General features: G+C 51.8%; 2 protein-coding genes across 5 annotated transcripts in view, besides 4 other annotated features; both read right to left on the reverse strand.

Moving 5' to 3' along the window:
* Positions 1-705: 705 nt before the first annotated feature.
* On the reverse strand, positions 706-2400 carry SMIM32 (small integral membrane protein 32). The gene has a single exon (NM_001350994.2). The coding sequence runs from the start codon at positions 1760-1762 to the stop codon at positions 1451-1453; it is 312 nt and encodes a 103-aa protein (NP_001337923.1). The 5' UTR covers positions 1763-2400; the 3' UTR covers positions 706-1450.
* Positions 1283-2197: an enhancer, noted in NCBI's record as "H3K27ac-H3K4me1 hESC enhancer chr5:135527733-135528647 (GRCh37/hg19 assembly coordinates)". NCBI's record gives its function as "activates a minimal SCP1, AML or CMV promoter by ChIP-STARR-seq in naive H9 embryonic stem cells {active_cell/tissue: H9 hESC(naive)}" and the evidence as "EXISTENCE:reporter gene assay evidence [ECO:0000049][PMID:30033119]".
* Positions 2354-2871: an enhancer, noted in NCBI's record as "H3K4me1 hESC enhancer chr5:135528804-135529321 (GRCh37/hg19 assembly coordinates)". NCBI's record gives its function as "activates a minimal SCP1, AML or CMV promoter by ChIP-STARR-seq in primed H9 embryonic stem cells {active_cell/tissue: H9 hESC(primed)}" and the evidence as "EXISTENCE:reporter gene assay evidence [ECO:0000049][PMID:30033119]".
* Positions 11523-12480: an enhancer, noted in NCBI's record as "OCT4-NANOG-H3K4me1 hESC enhancer chr5:135537973-135538930 (GRCh37/hg19 assembly coordinates)". NCBI's record gives its function as "activates a minimal SCP1, AML or CMV promoter by ChIP-STARR-seq in naive H9 embryonic stem cells {active_cell/tissue: H9 hESC(naive)}" and the evidence as "EXISTENCE:reporter gene assay evidence [ECO:0000049][PMID:30033119]".
* Positions 12481-13438: an enhancer, noted in NCBI's record as "OCT4-NANOG-H3K4me1 hESC enhancer chr5:135538931-135539888 (GRCh37/hg19 assembly coordinates)". NCBI's record gives its function as "activates a minimal SCP1, AML or CMV promoter by ChIP-STARR-seq in naive H9 embryonic stem cells {active_cell/tissue: H9 hESC(naive)}" and the evidence as "EXISTENCE:reporter gene assay evidence [ECO:0000049][PMID:30033119]".
* The window catches only part of TRPC7 (transient receptor potential cation channel subfamily C member 7), a 152801-nt gene continuing 151643 nt past the window's right edge, over positions 21983-23140 (reverse strand). For all 4 annotated transcript variants that reach the window (NM_001167576.2, NM_001167577.2, NM_001376901.1 and 1 more), the window contains one exon: positions 21983-22842. In NM_001167576.2, coding sequence (NP_001161048.1) covers positions 22673-22842 — 170 coding nt within the window. In that variant the 3' untranslated portion in view covers positions 21983-22672. The remainder of the gene's footprint in view (positions 22843-23140) is intronic.

Below are 23140 nucleotides of genomic sequence, written 5' to 3' on the forward strand. Positions count from 1 at the left end.
TTGCCAAAAGCCCAAGTGACCCTAGCATGTGTTAGAATGACTGGATTAGACAGTCTGTCAAATTCTTTTTCAGTCAAACCTTCTCTAAGCTCTAGTGCTCCATTGAGCCAGGTGACTCCTGAAACTATTTTAAAGCCCCGTAAAAAGACTCCCTAGAATTGGGTTAACTTTGGTTAAGGTTATTACAAGCCTTCCTAGTCCCTCTCAAGTTCTTTGAAGTTGATTTCCCCTTAACTGGGTTTATGCATCCATTTCCCTCCTGCCAGGTTCTCCAGGGCAGGCCCCCATCTCCTTTGGGAGGAAGTGCTGGGCAGCTGCCCCACCACCTGATCTTCAGGCTCTTCCTTCACCAGACGGTTCTGGTCCAGATAGGGCTCTTCAGGGGCTTCAGGCCCAGGAAAGCTCAGAGCAAAAGGGAAGATGCCAGGTGGAAGGAACTGCCCTGCAGAAAGGGTCCCCAGGAGCCCTGTTAATGGGAATTTATTCAGCAGGTCAGGCAGCAATTTTCCCTGGAGACCATCCTGAAAAAAAAACTTCCCCAAGGAAGTAATTGACCGACCCTGGGAAAAAGCCGAAGAGGAGGTAGTATCATCAAAATGTCCTGGGCGGGGAGGTGTCTCTCGCTTGGGTCTCCTGCTCGGGATCGATCTACCCTTATCCCCTTTTCCAAAGCGGCGCAAACAATTACCAGCACGTTCTCAGCGCTAGGTCTAATTGGGTGAGTTTTTATTGTAGAAATGCGCCCCTGAAGATGTGAGACGCGTAGGTGGGCCCCTGCGCCTTTCCACCGGCCTCCCACTGCCCGTGCTCACAGAAGAAACTGGGTCCTTAGACCCAGGCGGGACCCACTGAAACCCCGCGTTCAGTCATTTCCCAGGGGGATGCGGCCCCCCAGTGCCAACCTTCCAAAGTTCAGGTGAGTTCACGACGCTCGGATCCTAGTGGGGTCCTCCTCGGTGTCAAGGAGCAAGAGAGGCCGTAGCAGCTGTGGGAAACAGCCACAGGGCCTGCGAGTCCAGACGGGTAGCTCCAGGCTAGTTGCACGCTTGCGGTTCCTGCCCCTTCCGTGTGCAAAGTAAGGAAGTCAGCAGGCGGCGAGCAAGCAAGACGGGCTGGCGCGCCGTCTTTCAGGAAGGTTTCCCGACCCGACCGCCGTCTTTCGGGAAGGTTTCCCGACTGGACCCTCTGTCCAGAGGAAGAAAGATTTGGCCAGGGGATCAGAATCACGGTACCTACAGGTACTGGGATCGAGACCCTACACAGGCTCCCGACGCCTCGGTCTCCCTTTCCTCTCGGGTTGCCACTCTAGTTCAGGAAGGGTCTTTGGGTCAGGGCACCGTGTTCCCAGGGGCCAGCGATCCCCGGTGTCGTGCCCTCCCTACCAGGCTCAAGCTGGCTGCTCTTGGCTAGGTCGGGACGGGGCGCCCGGCGGCCGTGGCTCAGTCCCAAGCTACACCGGCCGCGTCTTCCAGGGCGCGCGGGCGTCGCGCAGCGAGCGGTCGTGGGGCAGCGCGGCGAAGGCCGAATGGCGCAGCTGGCAACCGATGAAGAGGACGACGAGCGCCACCGAGAGCAGCAGCAGGAAGAAGAGCAGCAGGTAGGTGGGCAGGTCGGGCTTTGTGGCCGCGCCGTCCCTCATACCGCGCGCAGTGGCCAGCTCCAGCGGCAAAGCGCCTTCTGCCTTGACCGTGGCTCCTGGGGCCAGCGCGCTGCCTACCGCCGCCTCGGGGCCGCCCGTGGCGTTGAATATGTCGCCGTACATGGCCCGCGGGTCCCGCCGACCCCAGCCGGACCGCTTCACTTGGCCTGGAGCATACTGGCGCGACCCGGCGCCTCCATGGCGCGCCCCTCCCGCCCTGCCGCGCCCAACTGACCGAGAGTCGGTGCCTTGGGGCCGGCGGGGACTGCAAAGACCCCGGGACGCGTCCGCTCACTCGCCTCCGCGCTCAGCTGCTTTCCCCGCCGGCTGGCGGACCCCAGTTCTCGGAGCTGGACAGTTCTGTGCCCGCGCCCCTCGGGCTCACTGTTTCTCTCCGTCGCCACCAGGACAGAGGTCCCAGTCACTGACTCGCCTTTCGGCTTTACAACAGCCCGCTCAGCTCGGACCCTCAGCTCCAGTGAGCTCCAGGTGCTGGGCGCCTCTGGGCTGCGGCGGCGGGGAGAGGCACTCAGCAAGTGCAGCCGCAGCCCGGGGTCTCTGCTGAGCGCCCGGTGGCAGAGCGCACGGAGGGCGGGTGGCCAGGGAGTCCTCCGCGTCCTCCGGCGCCGCCGCCACCGCAGCGTCTCGGAACAGTCCTGCAGGCTCTGGTCCCTGTCGAGACGCCCAGTGTTCAGCGAGCTTGTCCCCACTCCCTCCGGCTGCTGCGCTCCTGTTTTGAGCAGGAGACTGAGCTTTCTGGCGGCTCTGAGCGCGCTCGTGTCCCGGGCGGGGGTTCGGGGGAGGGGCGGGACTGGCGGCGGCTGCCCGGGGGAGCGGCTGCGAACCAATGAGGGCAAGAGAGGACGCGGCTGCGACTGCCCCCAGCCCGGCCTCACATCACTCAGGGACAGAGGGACAGAGACAGGGACAGAGAGAGAGAGAGAAAGAGAGAAAAGCACAGGGTCACAGGAAGACTGACGGGCAAAGACACAGTTACAGACCTATGAACAGAGCCACACGCCAAACAGGGACAAACCGTTGAGGTAAGCAAACCAACTCAGAGACAAAGCTCAGCTGAGCGTGCACACCTGCGTTCATTATCCTCCTTGACAGGCTCCCTCCAGGCATGGCCTGGTTTGTTCCGAGTGCCCACTGGCTGCTGGGTAGCGCAGGCCGGGCACACCACCTCCAAGGGTGTGCAGACGCGCTCCCAGACAAGCATGTTCAAGCCAGGACTGATTCTGTGGGCCCCGTGTCCTCTCCGGCTGCGTCCTGCCGGTCTGTGTGCATCCCGCACCGTGTGCAAGAATGTTCAGCTCCCTTTTGCCTATTCTGCCTGGGCACAGAGGGGCAAAAGGAGGACATGGCGCTGGCAGTTGCCCCCCTGCCCTTGGCAGGTCTGGAAAGGCGAGGTGGCCAGGACAGAGGTGTGCAATCAGTTGGATTGAGTGGGGAGGTGTCTCCTTTCCCAGGAGTCTGAACTGCTCACTTCCTCTGCAAAGTCTTCCAGGACCCCCAGACTAGAGTGGGAACAACCACCCTGGACCACCACAGCCCCTGCACTTCTCAACAAGCACCCACCCCTCACCTCTGGCCTGTCATTTTCTTTCAGGGCCAGAATTAGGGGGAGGTGGGTGAGAAGTCTAGAGCACAATACTGAATGAGACACTCGCTCTCAGAGTCTGCAAGTGCAGGGTTGGGAGTAGGTGTCTCCTTCAGTTTTGCCCCTAGATGCCTCACCCCTCACCCTAGTCCCAGCCCTGTTGTCTGCTCATTTGTCAGAGACCCTCAAAGGGTCAACCAAGTTCACATCCATGTCTTTCTCCTCTTTTCCTCATCTCCCATTCAGGGGTGCAATACATGGGGAGAGCTTGGTGACATTGGCTGAGAGAGCCAGTAGAAAGATGAGTTAGTTATTCTCTCTTCCCACTGCACCTCATGCCTGGCCACCAGCATAACAAGAACAATCAGGGTGTGCAAGGCAGACCTTGGCCAGAGCTCATACCCACAAATCCCTGCTCAGCCCGGCAGAATCACCTCCGTGAGCTCTTTGTCGAAGTTGAAACTGTGGTTCCAAGTCCTGACTCTACAGTGTTTGCCAAATGAGGTACAAAAATGCCCTCTTGGGTGTTTTTCACTTAGTCCCATAGATGGACCTGTGGGGGTTTTAGCAGGGCTTGACAGTATTCAGCACTGCCCCATCTACCAATCACCATCCCAGACAGAGCCCCCCTTGGTCCTAGAGGGCTGCCTGGTCTGCTTCCAGGGTGCAGGATGCTGAGCCCCTCCACATGGCTGCCATCAATGCCTCATTTTCCAGATGGCAGAGTTGGCTCTGAGAGGGGCCAGGGCTTATCCGTGTTAGCACAGGACAGCCACCATGTATCAGTGATATAGCAGCAGCAGTGGCAGTGGGCCACTCAGGAGATGGGGGGAGTCCCTTTCTCTGAAGACCTGACCTGTTTCAGACAGCATTTTTCTCGGCCAGCAGCACGCTAGAGAACATTATGTGAAGCCAGAACAGGCCTCCTCACCAGGACTTTCAGCCAGGGGGAGACTCAGCTCATGAGTTGGATGGAGGGGGTTGGGATGGAGGTGACGCTCCTGCTGTCAGTAACTTCCTGGGTCCTGGGAAGGCATGAATGCGGGACTTGGGTAGCTCAGTTTGGGATTTGGCCTGGAATTTCCTCCTGGGATCTATATGGGAAGTGGCATGGCCTACCTCCCCCACTTTCTCTCAGGTCCACCATAACCCCAGGTATGAACCCAGGAGGGGGGCTTACTGACACAAGGCAGCTCATTTGGGAGGCTGTAAGTGGAATCTGGGGCAGGCCTCAGCCTTTTGGGCTATAAAATGAGGGGCAATGGTAAATAAGTGTTTTCTGGTCCTCCTCTGGAAACAGGCTGTGATTATCCAGGAAATGGTGTGGAGCAGGGTGTCTGCAAAGGGTTTGGTGTGGATGGAAGGTCTCTGCAGCTTCGCTGGTCATAGTGGCAGGACGGGGATGGTGGTGAAACAGGGATGGTAGTGGTGGTGGGCAGGGAAATCTTTGAACCTGATGTCCCCAACACTGCTCATTCCTTCCCCACAGCTGCTGCTGTTCCCATGCGGCATTTTATAGAAATGACACATGCAAGGTCTCCCACCTGTGAATGAAGAAGCTGGAGCTCGGATGTGGGAAGTGGGGCTCCAGAGTCCATGCACTTAGCCACTATAATGAACCTTCTGCCATGGCAGAATGATTCTAGTAGCTACCATTCCTGGCCCTCTTACCACAAGCTGAGCACTAGGCGGGGGCTTAGCATTCATCTTTCTCCGCACAGCAACCTGTGATAGGCACATCTATCCCCTCATTTTCTAAAGGAGAAAGCCAGAACCCCAGGAAGTGGTGTCACTTGCCAAGATCACATAGCTGGTTATGGTGTAGGGGACCCTCCAGCTGTGGTCTGTGCTTGTCCACTCAGTCTGAAGCTGCCTTTTCTAAAGAGAAACTCAACAGAGAGCATGTGGTCAAACTGCCTTCCCTTTTAGTACAGTTGGAGGAGGTGTCTTGCTTTTTGGGGGGCCCTGAAGTAGGGAGGGTACTGTTTCTTTTCTGAAAGATGTTCAGGGCCCTGAGAGGGCAGTCACGTTCCCTGCACATCCCCGGGCAGGAAATTAAACAAGGCTGGTACTGAGTAAATGCAGAGATGAAGTTTACACAGCTCTTTATACAAGCCAGAGCGACCTTCCATTAAGGGAGCTTTGTGTACCCATACATTTAAGTCTTTGGAAAAGATTATAAAAAGGGGCTTAGAGGTTGGCTTTGACAGGCAGAGGTCACAGGGGGGGACCTCAGGGCAACCTCTTTCCCATTACGTAGTTGTTGAGTGACACATGTTTCTTCCCTCCTGACCTGTCTGCGGAGAAACCAAGGGAGGCGAGGCAAGGGTGCCTTTCCTGCCAGCGAGAGCCATTTGGCAGCTGTTTAATGGAAACTTAGGAGACTGGGAGCATTAGAGCCCCAGGATTTCATAAACTGTGCTGCGCAGGCCTGTGGTGCCTGGTGGAGCTATTTCTGTTTCTTCCACACGCCAAGGGAATTATTATTAAACTACTCAGCGTCACGCAGAAGCTGGGGGTGAAGATCAAAGGTGAAAAATTGCTGTCTGAAGATTGGAGTTCAGACAATTGAAGATTGGCTGGTGTGGGTTTTCCCTGTGTGGGTGTTAGTCTGCTGGAGAATGGGATGGCCACTTCCTCTGTGAATGCTGATGATGCCCTTGCTTGCAAAACTGTTTTGTTTGTTTTTTAAATCATTGCCCCTGTTAGTGGCTTTCTGTTTGCTCGTTTTAGATGACTTTGGCAACCATAGTGGTTGGTGACTTTAAGGTTACATTTTAGAATGACCATTTTTTGTTTTTTGGAGATGGAGTCCCGCTCTGTCGCCCAGGCTAGAGTGCAGTGGCACGATCTCGGCTCACTGCAACCTTCGCCTCCCGGGTTCAAAGCAATTCTCCTGCCTCAGCCTCCCAAGTAGCCGGGATTACAGGCACCAGCCACCATACCCAGCTAATTTTTTTGTATTTTTAGTAGAGATGGGGTTTCACCATATTTGTCAGGCTGGTCTTGAACTCCTGACCTCAGGTGATTCGCCTGCCTCCGCCTCTATAAGTGCTAGGATTACAGGTGTGAGCCACCATGCCCAGCCTACAATAACCATTTTAAGAAGTAAATAGCAAGTAGCCCAAGCCCAGACTCTGGAATGAAGCAGCTTTCCTAATGAGAATAACCTGTAGGAGGCTTGGAGAATGGTCTTGCCAGGGCTTTCAAAATGGCTGCAGTTTGGTTAGTGGAGTGGGGTAACTGGAGAGACGATGGGGTGTGAGGGAGAAATGATTCTGCAAGGAGAGAGCTCTGAAAGGGCTTTGTCTCCTATCCCAGAAAGGGTGTCTCCAGTTCTGTCCCGTGGTCCTGTCAGCTTGCTGGTCTCTGGTCAGATCAGATGATGGGATGGAGTCAGTTTCAAGATTCACCAGGCTGGTGAATGTTGTGCCATTTATTTTTGAATCAGGTCTCACCACTCATTGGTTAGCACCTCAACATTTTTTTCTATGGTCCCAATGACATGTGACCTCATCTGCCTCTCCAGGTCCCTTTAGTGGTATAACCTCAAGCCAAGCAGGTTATGGCGACCCAAGGCTTGCAGGATCCTGGGATTGATAGACTGATAGTCACCCCCTGGACCCAATCATCTTGCTTTCTCTGGGAAAGGCAGAGGTTTGCATGGTGGTGAAACCACATTCCTCCTGCTGCCTGGGCTCAACTAGGTGTGTTGGATGGGGTCACGGTGGGGTCACTGCATGCTAAGGGATGAGCCATCACTCTGGCCAAGTACTGGCAAGGAGGCTAAAGCTGGGATAGAGCCAGTATATGGCCAAAGACTGGGAACAGGACTGTTGTTTGGGATCAGTTGCCAGGCTCAGGGGCCCCTGGTGGTCTGGCTAACATCCTCACGTCCCTGTCCCTAGGCTTCCAGGATAGGGTGCCTGGCCTTTGTGGTTATACTTATGGAGAGACTGGGAGCCAGAAAGAGTGCCTTAGTCCCAGAAATGGAGACAGGTAGCAAGGCAGGGAGCAGGTGTGTTTAGTCACTTCAGAGGCCCCGACTCATCTGTGGCACTGATGCAGGACTGCTTCATGAAAAGGTCTGGGACTTGGTAGTGAGGCCAGGGCAAAAGAACTCCATCAGAAAAAGTTTGATTTTGTCTAGGATTGCATTTTCTAAAATTTGGCAAGAATACTTCAAGTGGGATGCCATATTACTTTAAGTAGTGCATGGGCACAGCATTAAACATCATGAATCACACAACGACAAAGTTTCTGTCTTTTAATCTTATTTAATTATTCTGATTATGGCAAGAAGAAAAATTCAGTCTGGCTCAGTGTCATCTCAGGTCCTCCAAGAAGCACATGCAGAAGATGTATTAGGGGAAATAGCTGTGATGGGTAAAAAAGGGGCACGAAGAAGAGGCAGCAGGGAGAGCTTCAGGTCACAGTACTGCTCTGACCCCTGAGAGGAGAGAGGGAAGAAAGGATTCGGTAAGAAGAGCCTCAAGCTGAAAGTGTCTCAGTCAGGCCGTAAGGAATTCCTAAGCAAACCTCACCTGTTAGGAGCCCCCTGCCAGGTGGGACATATGAAGCTGGTGGCACTGTTGCCCTTGCTAGCCAAGCATGGAGTCGTCTTTCCTCTGCTGAGGTTGGGGCTGGTGAGCCTTTGCAAAAGGCTGTCAGATCCTAGAGGAAGGGGCGGGTGCCAGGGTTGAAGTCCCAGCAAGACTCAGCCCTCCGAGGAAGCCCCCTCTCCCAGCCTTTGGTCCCAACTAACCCTGCCTTTTTGCCCTCTCTTTAGTGGAAGAGACCCAGGCAGTCCTCACCTGATTACTGTTGGTCTTAACTGTGTGCTTCATATTCAGTCTTCCCAGGGTAAGAGTGAATGAGTGAACCTCATTCTTGGGGTTAGGCCTCTGAGTCTGGGCTGAAGTGGGAGCCCAGGGTGTCAAGCAGACCCCCCCCTTGTGGCTAGAGCTTCATGTCTGTGGTCAGCAATGTCAGGCCCACGTGTGTCCTGGGCTGTCGTCTCTGCTGGGCCTTCTCCCTCTCCTTGCCATCAATATTTCCACAGGGCTGGCTACTGCCCAGGCTCAGAGCCCCATTGCTGGACACTGAGACTATAGCAGCCTCTTGCCTTTCACTCACCTCGTGGTCCATCCTTAAGGGTGGTTCTAGGTTTTTTGGAATCTGGAACTTTTACATCTTGGGGGATCTCTCTGAGAAAGAGCAAATAATTAGGTTTTAAAGTGAATATTTATTTAGAATGAAAAATGGAATCAAAATGAATTGAAAAGTTTAAAAATCTGACAAAGATTCAAAATATGAAACAAAACAAAACAAAACTATCCAGATTGGCTTTTGGCCACAAAGGAAGGACAGGGAAGGGCCATTGGGATCTACCTTCCTAGGGTTCAGGAGCAGGCCGGTTGGGAGGTCAGGGAATGGCCCCGTTGACTTGTAACCCCTACCCATGGCTGAGGGCAGGACCAGCTAGAAAGACTTGGTCTGAGTCAGCAATAAGCTCTAGGACTGGGAACCTGCCTTCTCTCTGCATCCTCAGGAGTCAGCGGTCTGGGCCAGCCTGCGGCGGGCTGAAGCTGGGAGAGCGGGCAGCAGGAGGTGTAGGCTTTAGCTCTCTGCATTCTTAGGAGTCAGCAGTTTGGGCCAGCCCATGAAGGACTGGGGCTAGGAGAGCCGGCAACAGGTCATGCAGGCTTGAGCTCTTTGCCTGTAGATTCTGCTCCTGAGCTGGGGACCTAGGTGGGCAGCTAGAAGCCTGACTTCCCTCTCAGGGGATTACTCCTGGCCCTGCAAAGACAGGCACCCCCTCCTACTCACCCCATCCCTCCCCAAACACCAGGTCAACCCTACAAATCCAGTTCTCTAGAGAAAGCTCTTTCCTATGAGGGGCTCTGTCTTCCTGGGCACAAATCCTGAGGTTGCTTCCCAGATTAATGGGAGCCTGGGATAGGAGAGACATCCTTTGGACAACGTTCACTCTTTATGCCCATCCCTGCCCCCCACATGCACTGAAAGGGTAGGGAGGACTTCTACCCTTAATTAGGAAGAGGAAGAAAATCCAAGTTTACAAAATTCAGGCACATATTTCTTCAGGGTGTGAAATTATGTTTTCTTTTCCTCCCAAAGTTCTAAAAGAAAACCCAACTACCTGGTTTCTTTTTGATAAAACTACGAGGGATCTCCATTCTCTTGTCTGGATAAGTCCCTCGCTACAACCAAGCACCCCCTGCTTCAAACGTTGCCCTTGGCTGCTGCCTGGGCAGCTCTTATTTCTTTCCCAGTCCTCCCTCCCCCTCTGTCACTGGGCAGCAAGTCTCTCACGCAGTGTGGCAGAAGTGTCACTGGTTGCTCAGTGGACCCAGGCAGAAGGGGCTATGGATGTGGGGTTGGGGCAGAGAAAGCCCCCTGTCCAAAGAAGAGGTGCACAGTGGTCATCTAAAGTCTGTGGAAGAGGATGCCTTATGCTCTGTGAGTCCTTGATGGGGAAGAAGGGACAAATATGCACATGTCCTGATTCATGAGGAAATGTGATTATTTTTAAAAAGTTTTAAGTGAGAGAACTGAAGCTGTCCTTTAAAGTGGCATTTTAAAACCTAAATTGGAAACTACATTAGCATTGCCATTTTATGCTGAGGCAATAGAAATTCAACATGCTCCTCTCAGGCTCCCAGGTCAGACATGAGGTTGTCTCCATCCTGAAGCCTTCCTTTGGGGAGGCATATGGGGTACTCTGTACCCCAGTTCTGCTGGGGAAGGGGCTTCTCCCACCCCCTCCCACTAGGAGGCTGCTTTTGAGCTGCCTGTGGATGGGAGAAGTAGACTGGATGGCTTGGAGTCATCTGGCCCCTTCTTGGAGAAAGCCTTTAAGATGACACTCCTCCCAGAAGTGGTGCTGGGCTTCACTAGTAAGTGGATGGTCTCAACATCTTAGCTGGAACCAAACAGGGAAAACAAGAAGATACTCGAGGTTGCTCAGGGCATTTTAAGATATGAAAAGCCGCCATCCAGCCTTGGCCCTCCCACCCTTGAATTCACCCATCCAGGCGAGAAAAGCAGCCTCACCCACAGCTCCCCAATGGGAGCTGAAGGGCTGGGGACAGCAGTCCTCCAGGGACTGGTCTTGATTTCTTTTCATGGGAATTCTCTCCCAACCCCTTCAGAATTACTTGGCATGCTTTTAAAAATTCAAGTTTTGCCCCCCAACCCCAAAGATTTGAACCTAGCATTTGGAGCTGCAAATGGGCATATACATTTGGGCATGCTATTGTCAAGTATTAACCAAGGCATCCCCCTGCATTTCCTGACTCCTGTGGTCCTTCCTTGCAGCCAGACAGCAGCCAGACTGCTCAATATTAATTGCTTCAGGGAAGGGAGGACATTGCAGAACTCGGCTAACAAAAGAGTCAAATTATTGGCTTTTGAGTTTCAAAATCTTGGCCCAGGTATAGGTTTGGAACAAGACATGATGAGTAAGGGCAGCATTGTGGCTCACACACATGGTACCTTTGGGCAAATTATAAAAAGGTGCCATTTCCCTGGGCATGTTAAACTTCCCTGTTGTGCAGTGCACACACTGCTCAACTTTATATGGCAATCCTGCATAAGAGCACATTTTCCCATCTCTGAAGTTAGAAAAGAATATCCCTGATCTTGGGGCAGGGTAGAGCAGGAGGTGAGGAGAAGAGAGTTCATGGGGACACAAGGAGACCTTAGATGTGAGTAGGTCTCTGAGAGGGGGTAGAGGAGTGTTCTGCCTTGAGAGAGATGACAGAAGACCAGATAGTTCGGGGGATTGGGGTGCAGAGGGAGATGGTAAATACCTTTCTTAAGGAGCCCTAAGGAGGCAGAAGCCCTAAGATCATTCCTGCAAGCTCACCTCATACATGCCTGCAAGTTCACCTCAGTGTACATGAAGTGATGAGGGGCCACAGCAAGCTGCCTCCAGCTCCAAAATGATTTGGAGACAGAAGGGCTTCTGAGTCAGTGCTCTGAGAAGGGCATGAAAGAGGCAAGCAGGCGTTCTGAGGCTGTCTTTTTGATGGGAATGAGGTTCCATGCAGCAGCGACCCACAGGACTGACGTTTAGGAAGCAGATAGACAACAGAGGTTTGGTGGACGTCAGTGAAGGCAGAGAGGGCTGTGGGTGGGATGATTGCCTGCTTTAAGCCTGCAGAATTTATCACAGGGTCAGTAAAGTGGGTGTGGGACTCAGAACTGTGGGACTCAGAACTGAGCTGAGATTTCTACCACCTCTGAGGAATGAGGGACAGGGGGCTCCTAACAGAGACTGACTAGTAATCTTTCATTTCTTACCCACTTGAGTTTGTGGATTAAGATTTATATAAATATGTAAAGAGAACCACAAGCAAATACCTCCTAGTAATTATCTCTAGGTGGCTGGATTAAGAGTGATTTTCATTTTCTTCTTTTCTGAATGCTGAGGTTTTTGGAAATTTCTCCAGTGACCATGGTTTACTTTTGTAATGAGAATAATATTTTTAAAGAAACAGTATAAAACAAAACAGCAAAAGTAATTTACATTTTAATTTTTCTCCCCTGTCTCCTGGGCCCTCATTCCTTAAGTGCCTCATCCATCTTGCTCCCTTCAGTCCCCTCTGCAGAGGCCTGGGCACTGGATGAGAGGTGGGCTGGGGGCTGGAGGGGACCGAGGCAGTGTACTCAGTTGGGAGTCCTGGAGCCCTAGGCCTTTATTCACAATGACAGCGGCAATAACATCTCAAAGGACAATTTTCTATCCTCCCTGTGCCCACTTGAGAGACAGGAGGAAGAGAACCCTCTCATCATTTTTGGCTTCCTGGTGATGGTCTCCTCCCCGCGGTGGGAGGGTCCGGCTGGGCTCTGCTGAGCCAGAGGGAGAGTGGGCTGGGCTTGCTCGCCATCGGAGCTCCTCAAACAATGCCCTTTCCCATAATCGGCTTCTCTGGTTCCTTAGAGCCCTGGTTCAGAACCTCACTCTGAATCACAATGAAGGGAAAGGCCGGCCCGCGAGGGCCCCAGTAGGACCATTTGGAAAGAAAGGAAAAGGATAACAAACCAGCCGGGCCTCTTTAAGGGATCCCCACCTGGGAGGGGACAGGGATGAAAATAGAAACGAGCAGGCAGGAGGGGGAGGTTTAGTGGGCTGGTGGGAGAAGCCTGCTGATTATTAAAGAGTGAATTACCTGGGTCTAATTACGAATGCATAAGCAGCACATTTCCTCCTGATACAAATCGGAAGTGGCTCAGCTTCAGTCACAGAGAAATAAAAGATAAATCTCAAATGTGAGGGACCCCCCACTCAACACACACACAGACAGTGCCCTGTGTCTTTTCCTCCCTCTGCCCTTACCGCAGGTTGGTTTGGTTGGGGAGAGGAGTGGACCCCCCACCCCCACCTCCTCTTTCATTCTCTCTGGCTCTGTTTATTATCTACATTAATAAATATTAATATATAATATCTATATTAATATTAATACTATTAATATTATCTGTATTAATAAATTAATAAACGGTCTTTCTCTCTCTTTACACACACACACACACACACACACACACACTCCCTACTTGCTCAGCCTGGCTGGGGCTTTTCTTCCTGCCACCTTTGTCCACAGAACCTGCTGGCATGAAGTGGGATGAGGCCCTGTCCGCCCCACTCTGGGGCTCTAATGGCAGCGCACCCTGGAAGCCTGCTGTCCTAGGCAGGTTTTCCCCCTCAGCGCTCTGCTGTCTGACATCAGGTGAGTTCTCAGTTCTGGGGACAGAGTGGGAGCGGACCTTGCCCATGTCCCAGTTCAAGAATGACATTTCCTTACCTCCAAGAAACAGGAGACAAAATCAAGACTGGGCAATCCCTGGAGTTGGGGTTATTACCCCAAACCCTTGTTAGCATTGGCTGTCCCTTTACTATTAGTTTTTAACGTAATAACAATGCTGTTGAGTCACGGAGATGCAGCACGGGAAAGGGTGGAATTGAGCTATTCACCCCTGTTTTTTCCTTGGTGCCTTCAATGCTTTATCCTTTATCTTTCTGCATGCCCAAATCGTATTCATTTATTTTTAGAGATGTGATCTCGCCCTGTCACCCAAGCTGGAGGACAGAGGCGAGATCATAGCTTACTGCAGCCTCGAACTCAAGTGATCCTCCTGGACTCAAATGATCCTCCCGCCTCAGCCTTCCAAAGTACCAGGACTACAGGCATGAGCCACCGTACCTGGCCCCAAATCTTACATATCCTTCTAAAACTGGATCAGTCCCACCTTAGGGAAGATCAGAAAACTAGCTAGAGCACTGGCCCAGGCCTGGGGGCCAGTCCCATCTCTAGTGCCCACCAGTCAGGTGATCTGATAACCATGCCACCTGGAAAGGGGAACTCTGTGGCAAGTGTTCAAATATAGTTGGTCATCAGAGTTGCCTGGGGGCCTCTTAAAATAGAGACTCCTAGGCCCAACCCTCAACCGTTGAATCTACATTATCAATCTGTGTCAAGGGATTCTGAGGGAGGAGGTCCCAGGACTGTGTTGAGAAATACCCCACAGGGAACGTCCCTCCTACCCAGGCTGCCTGCTGTGGACAGTGCCTCTACACTTGCTGCCTAGCCTAAGTGCATTCCTCCCACTCAGTTCTGTTCATTGCCACTCATTCTATGCTCAGTCCAGTTTATGGGCCCAGGACCCCAGGAATTGAACTTCCAGTTCATGCTCTACTTAAGCTCTTTCTAGGAAAAGGGGATCTTGAATCCTGGCCTACCCACATCACTGGGCTGATGTTTTAAATAAGTGAAATAAGGGATGTGGAAGTGCTCATCATATAGCTGTAAGATTAGAAATCGAAAGGGATGTTATTGTCCATCAGGCAACGATTCACCAACTGCCTTGTGACATCGCCTCTGTATTGCCCACCACTCTTGTTAAAATCTCACAAATCTGCTTACCTGTTCCCAGGCTTGTCCCTTTTCTCTTCAGTGAAACTGCAAACTCCTGAGTTGGAGTCCACTGGATCCTTCCAGCTCATCGCACATTACGATACATGAGCTGAGGTGATGACTGAGTCGACTGGCTGTATTTAGCTTGTACAACAAAACGTGCGTCCTTCTGTAGGATGGCCAGAACTACTTTTGGGGGGTGGGGGCGGTTCCATCGGTGTCCAGACACTGGGTTTCTTTTTAAGTGGAGCAAAGCCAACCTGGGGAGGTTGGAAACCCTGACTGTGGCTTCTTAAACAACTGCTGATTTGCATTCATAGGCTTCTGTTGTTTGAGGCACCAGGCCTTATGATTCAGAAGTAAATCATTCTTTTGGGATGAATGGGTGGGATTGATTACTCTCCTGCAGATAAGCTAAAAATGGTGTGAAAAGTTCCTGGATCCTTCCTCAGCCCCTTTATTTTAGTTATTACTGGGTAACATACCACCTCGAAACTTCGTGGCCTAAAGCAACAACACTTTATTATTTCTCGTGATTTTGTGGCTAACAAAGCTCAGCTGGGAGGTTCTTCTGCTCCACATAGCTGAATCACTTATGCAGCTGCACTTAGCTGGGAGCTTGTCTAGGCTGGAAATACAAGAGGCCTCTCAACCTCCAGGGTTTCTCTCTACACAGCCTCTCAACATTCAGCATCCTAGCTGAGATTCTTTACAAGGGCTGGCTTGTTGTAAGACAAGCCACCCTGGGCATGGGCTTATCAAACCACTGCTTGTGCTATACTTGCTAATGCTCCATTGGCTAAAACAAGTCCCATGACCAAGCCTAGCATCAATGGGGGAGGGGAACACACAAGGGCCTGAGTACTGGGAAGCATGTTTCACTGGGGCCATGGGGTATAGTTCACCACAACCATATTTTCCTTTCTTTCTTGGGAAGTCACCCAAACAATTTACAGGACAGAACAGCAGCCTTACCAGGCATTTGTGTCTATTTGGGAAATGGAACATCTACCCAGTACTATGTATCTCCACTGGGAACCAGTGCTACTGGCCCTGCCATTTCCTGTGTTTGGCGGCCTGTGCTGTGACTTGGGGGAGGTCACACAGACCCAGACTCCTCTGCTCTGTGTCAGTGGTGGTCTATGTCCCTGGGTGACCTCAGCTCGGGAAGAGGAGACCCCGAGGCCTGGCAGGAGGGCAGTTTCTCTGATTTTCCCTTGGGAGTAGAGTAGCTTCCTGCAGATGCTGCCTCTTGCATATGGGTTTCTGATGGTGGCCTCTGTGAGGCCTGTGGGAGGCCCTGCACATCCCTGATGATGAAGACACCGACATCTCCTTCACATCTCTTTGGGTTGCCTCTAAGTCTTTGCCACAAAGTGGACCCATGTGGGAGCAAGTATGGGGCCCTCTACCTCACTCCTCTTCTTTCCTTGTGTCTGTGTGCCTAGGCACTTCTGCCCAGGTTCCATTCTCACCTCCAAATCCCCCTCCTTGTCTTTGCCTATGTGGTGGAGCACAAAGGATGACCAGAAACACCCCGTGGGTGGTCTTAGGGCACATTTTTAGTCTCTTTAGAGTTACCCGGGTGTCTGAGCCGTGACCTCGTGGGTGGGTGCACACGGGCTGTGTGGGAAGTGACAGTTCCCTTGATTTCCTCATATATCTGTGTTCTTGTCTCACACCCTTAGATCCCTGTTTCAGAAAGTATCCCTTATGTTTCACCTTGGGTTGAGTCTTTCATGTCATATGTATGCAGGGGGAGTACAGACTGGAAGGTCTTCAAGAATCAGGAAAATGCTGTTTTTACCCTTTGGGAGAAAGATTGAAAATCTGTCCAGAGTGACTAGAATACTGATCCATACCATCCTCTTCCTGCAGCCTCAGCACAATGAAAACAGCTCACCTCTGAGCTGGGGCTTGGGGACATTAGGCTCAGAAGTCCCAGGACACAGCAAAAACATCTGTGTTCTTTGAAGGAAAAATATCATGAGAAGACACCCTAATGGCTTTTGCTGAAGCACAGAATACACATTCTGTTCACGCTGGTGGTGACAGACAGTGATCATGCTGCAAGCATCTTTATGTAATGATGAGTCTACAAGGCAGCCTCGGCTCTCAGATCGAATCTTCACCTTCACCAGGGCTTAACTGGCTCTGGGGGCAGCTAATAGATTTCTGCAGGTTAGGAAGGCACCAATGGCTCTATTTTGCTGGAGTGCCCATTCTGCGATTGATTGGAGTTGAGCGTGATACTCTGGGGCTGTGTTCCGTTCTATCACTGAGATGATCCAAAGTCACTTCCTCTCTCTCAGTGACTGACCCTGCTCAGGTCTGGGGCAGTCGCTGCTCCCTGCCGGCATCAGTGGTCCAGAAATCCTGAGTCAGTTGTACGGCCACTGGGGCTCATGCTGCTCTCAATGATCTATGCTCATGGGAAGCAGTGGAAGTCCCCAAGACCAATATCAAGTCCTATTTACATAACTTGAATAGTCCACTTCACCATACTCTACCTACAGAATAAGGCTCTATATTTCCTATGTATAGCAGCATCCTCACCAGCCAGAAGCTGGACCTGCCCACAGTGTCTACTGGTTATTTCTGGAGTCTCCGAGGGGTGACCCCACAAACAAGGTTGGTAATGGTGGTCACCATGCTGGCTGCCTTGTCGCCCTCTCTGCTTTGCTCCCCCTTCACCTTTCTGCTTCCTGCTGCCTCCATAGATGTTGAGAGATGTCTCACTGGGATCGCTGTCCCTACAGAAATGCCCAACGTGCCAATTCAAGGTCTTCCCAAAGCTGGTGGCTGGGCAGAGCAGAAAGACTTCTCCCTGGTCCTGAGGTGTATGCATGCCCAGGGTCGCGAAGCAGGCCTGCTCTGCCCCACGGCCTCGAAGCTTCTCTCCCAAACAGTTTAACCAGCTTCTGGCCCTCACTCATTAAACAGAACCACACCACATCTCAAGAAAAACAGTCCTGGCAGTTTCTGGCCCTCGCTCCTTCAACCACAGAAGCTCAAAACCAGCCCCATGGTTGGGAAGGGTGGAGAAGTCACTGCACCATTTCTGTGTTCATCAAGACTCTGAGGATGTAAATGACAGAAACCCAAAGCAAATTTGCTTAAACAAAAATGGGATCCATTTGGCGGGGAAACTACGAAGGCTTCTGGAGCAGCCCTAAGGAAGAGTTGCAGGAAGCAGGGCCTCGGGGTGGGCCCCACCTAAGGTCAACGGCACCCCTTCTGCTTCCCTTTCCCTCCTTTTCTCTTCTATCCCCCTTCCCCATCTCCTCTTCTCCCTTGTCTCTATTTCTCATCTCTTTTTGACTTCATTTGCAGACAGTCCCTCTCCATGTGGCAGAGGGGTGTCCCAAATTCACATTCTCCTTTTCATCAACCCTGCCAAAGAAGGACTTTTCTTTCCCAGTGGCTACTTATATATAAAACCAAGGAAAGACTAAGATCAGCTCTGTTTGGGTCTGCTGTTGATTTTAGAGGAGGTGGGCACTCTGGGTGGCTGTCCTGGGGTTAGGTGCTAGACGGTGTCTGGGGTACAGTGAGATCTGTTACCAGCCAAAGAGGGGGTCACAGCCAGCACCAAGCCTACATGCTCCATAGCCCACCCTTCCTCTCTGGCTTCTGTGCCGGCCATCTCTCTGCCTTATCCCTGTATATTCACCATCACTGGGGTGGTGGGGGTGGAAGTGGCAAAGTTAAAAATGTTGTCTGTCCTACCAGTGTCTGGACCTGCCCTCAGACACCTAAAAGTGTCTTGTTAAATTTTTCTTTAGCATATTTAATTGCCTTCTTTTTTCTTCTCTTTCCCCAGCATGCTGCCTGTCTGCTGGGTTGGGTGGGGGCTGCTGACCTTAGGGGTGTGGGGTCAGTGCCTGGCAGCAGCCTCCGCACGTCAGCCTCCACGGGACACTCAGGCCTCTTTGGTCAGTGGCACAGCTATGCCACATCCATGTCAAGGCGTAGCGGGCTGTGTTTTGCCCAGTTATTTCTGACTCAGATACTCAGAGGACATGAAATCAGGACTTTTAAAACTTATTGTAAGGAGAGGACACTTTGCCTCTGCCTCAGCCCTGGAGAGCCTCTTCCTTCCTCTTTCTCCCTCCTAGTGCAGGGGAGAGGCTGACAGGAGGCAACTGGGCTGGTCCCTGCTCATTCTAGAGGAGGCCAGGCAGTGCAGAAGGCAGACCCAGCCAGGCCCCGGGTTCTATCGGCATGGGAGCACACCCTTTCCTCTGGGGTCTGACTCTCTCTGTCCAGCACCTTGACCTCTCTGCTCTCACCACTTTGCCCATTCCTCTGCTGCTCCAATCTGGGTAGGGGAGAACCCATGCTCCTCAGCCATCCTTTCTTCCAAACTTCGACTCTCCCCTCATCTGACCTCTCCCTTTTTTAAAGCCTCAGGTCTGGGAAATGAGCACACCTTTATTTTTTCCTGCTTTCTGTGTCATTCCTTCGCTGAAGCAAAAGGCATGGGTTGTCCTAGCTGCTTGACGGCACTGGGGAAACAATGGTGAAATACTGGGCCACAGTGAGTGTCTGGACCTGCCATTCCGCAATGCCATCCAGCCCATGTGGGCCCCGCTCCCAGGACCGGGATGAGGTAGCGTTACCCAAGCTCCTGCTGGCTGTGCCTGGGAGACCACGGCCGGAAGTGGCTTCACTCCTGTGTTAATCATCATTAAGTTGATTGGCATCTATGTGTCTTTCCTGGAGCTCCTTCCCTCTAGTACTCTCACCCTTCATGGGATGCAGAGAAGAGCTGGGATAAGCATAGCGTGGAGGCGTGCCTGCCTGCCTCCGCAAATGAAGCTTCTCTGGCCTGCCGGCCTCTGGGGCTCTCAGACTCTGCACTTTACAGACGCAGTCATGGGCACTTTGAGAAGTGATGGGATCAAGGCCGCTTATTTGTAACCAGATGCTGCATGCTCCTGAGCAGTGCAGGGTGTCTCAGCCTCCCCATGAAGGTGTCTGGTCAGAGCTTTCCTGCCCTGGGGAATCTCCCCCTGCCTGGCTTGTGTGGGCCAATGTTCTGTCTTTGGGCCTTGCTGGGAGGGAAGGAGACAGGCTTTGATGGGCAGAGGCGGTCACTGCACTTTCTCAAGTGTGTGAGCATGGTCCTTTAGGAACAGCTCGGAGGACTAATTGGGGACTTCTGCATGAGAAGTGTCACTATGATTTGTCGAGTCCTATTAGTAGCCATTGTAAGGTGACAAGTCACTGGAGAACTCACTGCTTAACCACTGGTTACCCAGGAAGCCTGGACAGGGGCTGCAACTCCCGCATCAGTGTGCCATGTTATGGCAAGGAGCTGGGCCCCCTTCCAGGCTATAACTAGAAGGGAAATGGCTTGAGCTATAGCAGAGGATGGCTTATGTTTCTGCAAACTCACCGAGTTTCTCAGGGCCCGAGATGATGCTGTCTGAAGGAACTTCAGAAAACTGGAGATCAGAAGGGCCCTGCAGTAATTCATGAGGAATTCAGCAAGAGTGGCTACTCTTTGGCCCTGTGCCAGTACTCAGTGGGGAATGGAACAGACCTGACCTCCTCATGGAGCTTCCCTGGAGCAGTGGAGACAGATGCTGAACGTATACATTAGAGTTGTAGACAGAATGATGGCAAGTGTGCAGAGCTGCAGGGGACAGATGGGTGCCTCTGGCGGCATGCACATCTTGAGGAGTGTTAGTGAACTTTCCAGGGAGGACTGGGTCCTTTTTTCTCCCCATCTGCCCTTGGGTCTCTCTCAGGTTCCATTCCTCACCCTGCTGTTTGGCTTCTTCAAGCGCTGCTTCCCCTGCCTGGCTAATTTAGCATGGGCCCAAGAGATGGGGCAAGTGAGGGAGACTGGTAGTGCCTGGAAGATGACTGAGCCCTTTTCCCTGCTTCAGGCTGCTGATCTCTGCCAGCCCTCAGTTCCAGGCCTCTCCAACAGCTCTCCACCAAAAAGGGGCTCTCTTCTGCCCTTCCCCATAGCCATCTGACAGCCATGAATTCATTCCTGGACTACCTTTACCTCCTAGACATGGCATTAAAACCCTAATGGATGGTACTAGTTTTCTTTCCCAGTTTTTAATTACTCAGTGAGACTGGTTTTCCTTTATCTCTATAAGGAGTAGATCTGAGACTTAGGTTTGATAGGAAAAGTGTGCCCCATGGTTTGAAAATGGGGTTGCTAACTGCCTTTGGCTGAAGGCAGATAGAGAAATTGAAGAATGCATCTCAGAAGTATTGATTAGCATTCTGATAAAGATAAATGAGGGATCTGAAAGGCAGTCTTCCAGAAGTGTTAGCAATTTGTCCCCTGGATGAATCAATTGCTCTTCCTACAAAGCACTTAAGCCTCCCTTTTCAGAGTCTGGGTTTAAAAAGGGAGCCACACTGGATGCATGTGGCTCTGTCCCTAGCACTTGGCAAGGGGCTTAGTACATAGCTGCTGAGTAAAGTCATTCCTCATTTGTGGACTTGCCGGGGGCGTGTAGATGAGTGCTTGCAAAAAGCTACAGGTGTTCTCTCCAGAACAATGCACCCATTGCAAAGACAAGCACACAGCCTGAAGGGCACCTTAGGACTTGCAGGCTCTTTGAAATCCATCCATGGTCCTCTATGGATCCTCCTCCTGGGCCAGAGTTTATGTCTGTCAAGTGCCCCTGCATATGCAGTATGCCCAGTACCTGTCAAATGCCTGTTTCTGTCTTGCTTGAATACTAGGTGGTGGTGCAGATTGGGTTGGGAAGGCCCAGGCATGGAGCCATGTCTCATCTTCTGCTGCCTATCTTGGCGGCCAGGAGCCCAACAAATGTTGACTTTTTCTTTTTTTCAGCAGTTGGGAAGATGTGGCAAAACAGGACTTATATTCCTTATGGCAACGATGGGCTGAGCTGAGTGTCTGCAGCCTGCTTTAGGCAGGGCACGGCTGTGCAGTCTGTCATCGTCCCTCGTCACTCCCATCAATGCTGGCACCAACCTCACTTCTATTTATCGCCTCATCTGATCGGCTGTTTCTTATAGCAGAGTTAAGTAAAAAAAATGTTTGCCCCTGAAGACAAAGACGTATGTCTTGAAACACAAGCTCCCTCTTTCTACATATACATACATATATACATTTACACATACACACATGCATATATATATATATATATAATTATTATATATTTATCTTCCCCCCTCTAGAACGTCTGCAAGGCATGTGAATTTGTAACCATCACCCTCCTCACAGGGTTGCTGTGAGGATCCGGTGGACTGATGCATGCAAAGCCCCGAGCACAGTGCCTGGTACACGGCAAAAGCTGAATACTTCTGGCCAGCCCTAGGAATATTTCCTTGGGAGCAGAGGGCTCTTCTGGAAGCTTCTGGAAGATGAATGGCATCTTCGCACACCTGCTCCGAACAGGCATTGTTTGGGACTCAGCGCCCTCTGGTGGCTGCTCTCCCCACTCACACTTAGCCTCTTCCTTGGTTGGGGGGACACTTTGAGGCCTCATTCCTGCCCCTCCCCTTCCTTTCACATGGAGGAAAGTTCTAGAATGGGGTGGGAGAAAACTTTCCACTTGTTCTGCATTTCCTTTACCTCCTTCCTGACCTTAGGTCTGGGCACAGGAGGAGGGGCTTGGAGGTGGAGGCTGGAGCTTCTGGGGGTCCTGGCTGCATGACTCTAAGGAGGGTGGTGCCTTCGTCCCCACCCAACCCCCACCGCATCGGCCCATTCTCCTCCCGAAGCATCCCTGGGCCACAGGTTCCCAAGGCCACCTCCAGACTGGGCCCGCGAGTGGGGCGGCCCTGGTAGCGTATCCACAGAAGTTATTATGAGGTAATTTTATTTCTTTCCATTTTAGGTAAAAATAGTAAATACAAGATAATCTTAATAAAGGTAAAAATACATCATTTGGATTTTGTTGTTGTTTTCTAAACAGTGCTACCTACAGTACAGTTTTCAATTTAGGATTTTTAAACTTTTTTTTTATATAAACAAATAGAACTATTTTGCTATTAGGCTGTGTTCTCATCTGGCACTTAAGAATAGATCACAGGTCACCTCCTGGTTCTGTTTGGATGTGTTGGGGGTGGCAGGGAGGGAGTGAGAAGGAGTTTGTGGGTTGAGGTGTTTGTCTTCCCAGGACACAGCCAGAGCTGCAGTCCCACCTGCAGTGGGAGGGCACAGGTGTGCACCCAAGATGGCCTTTTCCTGCTCTGGCCACAGGGATGGGTTTCACTGTGGCTGGACCAAAGGTCTCACACTCGTCAGGGGGCTGTTCCTCCCCTCCTCCCATGGTAGCTTTTCTTACCCAACCACCTAGATTCACAGCAGTTCTGGGTCTAGGCAGGCCAGCGGGCTGGAGATGTCAGTCATGCTGCAAGAGACTGAGCCAGGAGATCCCCTTCGTGTCCTAGAGGAGTGGGCTGGGGACCCCTCCCCACCAAGGATGGGGGCGAGGGCATCCAACCTGGCCTTGGAATGCTGGTAGAAGTCACAGACGCCGATGTGGGCTGCTAAATGTCTTTGCCCTTGTTCACCCTCAGGTGGTCTTTGTTTAAGTTCTTTCCAAACTTCTCGCTGAGTTGTTGAATCAGGTCTGCCAGCTCACCAGTAGCTTGAGATTTTTCCTCAAGAAGCTCATAGCGCAGGCTGGAGATATCTTGCTTGATTTCCTTCAGCTCGCCTGCAAGGACAGAGGAGATTTTGCTGAGTCTGAGTAGGTGGAAGCTCGGGGCTTGTCCCATGCACATGTGGGCATGTGCATCCTTCCAGTGGAATGTCGGGTCCTGGGCCAGCCCACCAGGGTTGAAGGTGAGGCAAGGGGGGCTCTATTTGAACCCAGAACCACCCAGCTCCCCCACCACTGAAGGACACATCGATCCATAGAAAGCCCTTCTCCTCCCATTCCAGGAAAACCTTTCCCTTAGGGGTTTGAAGGAGGAGTCAAGATCAGGGCTGTGAATTGTGTCTAGCACTTGTTT

This window comes from Homo sapiens, chromosome 5 (genome assembly GCF_000001405.40).
Source record: "Homo sapiens chromosome 5, GRCh38.p14 Primary Assembly".
NCBI lineage: Eukaryota > Metazoa > Chordata > Mammalia > Primates > Hominidae > Homo > Homo sapiens.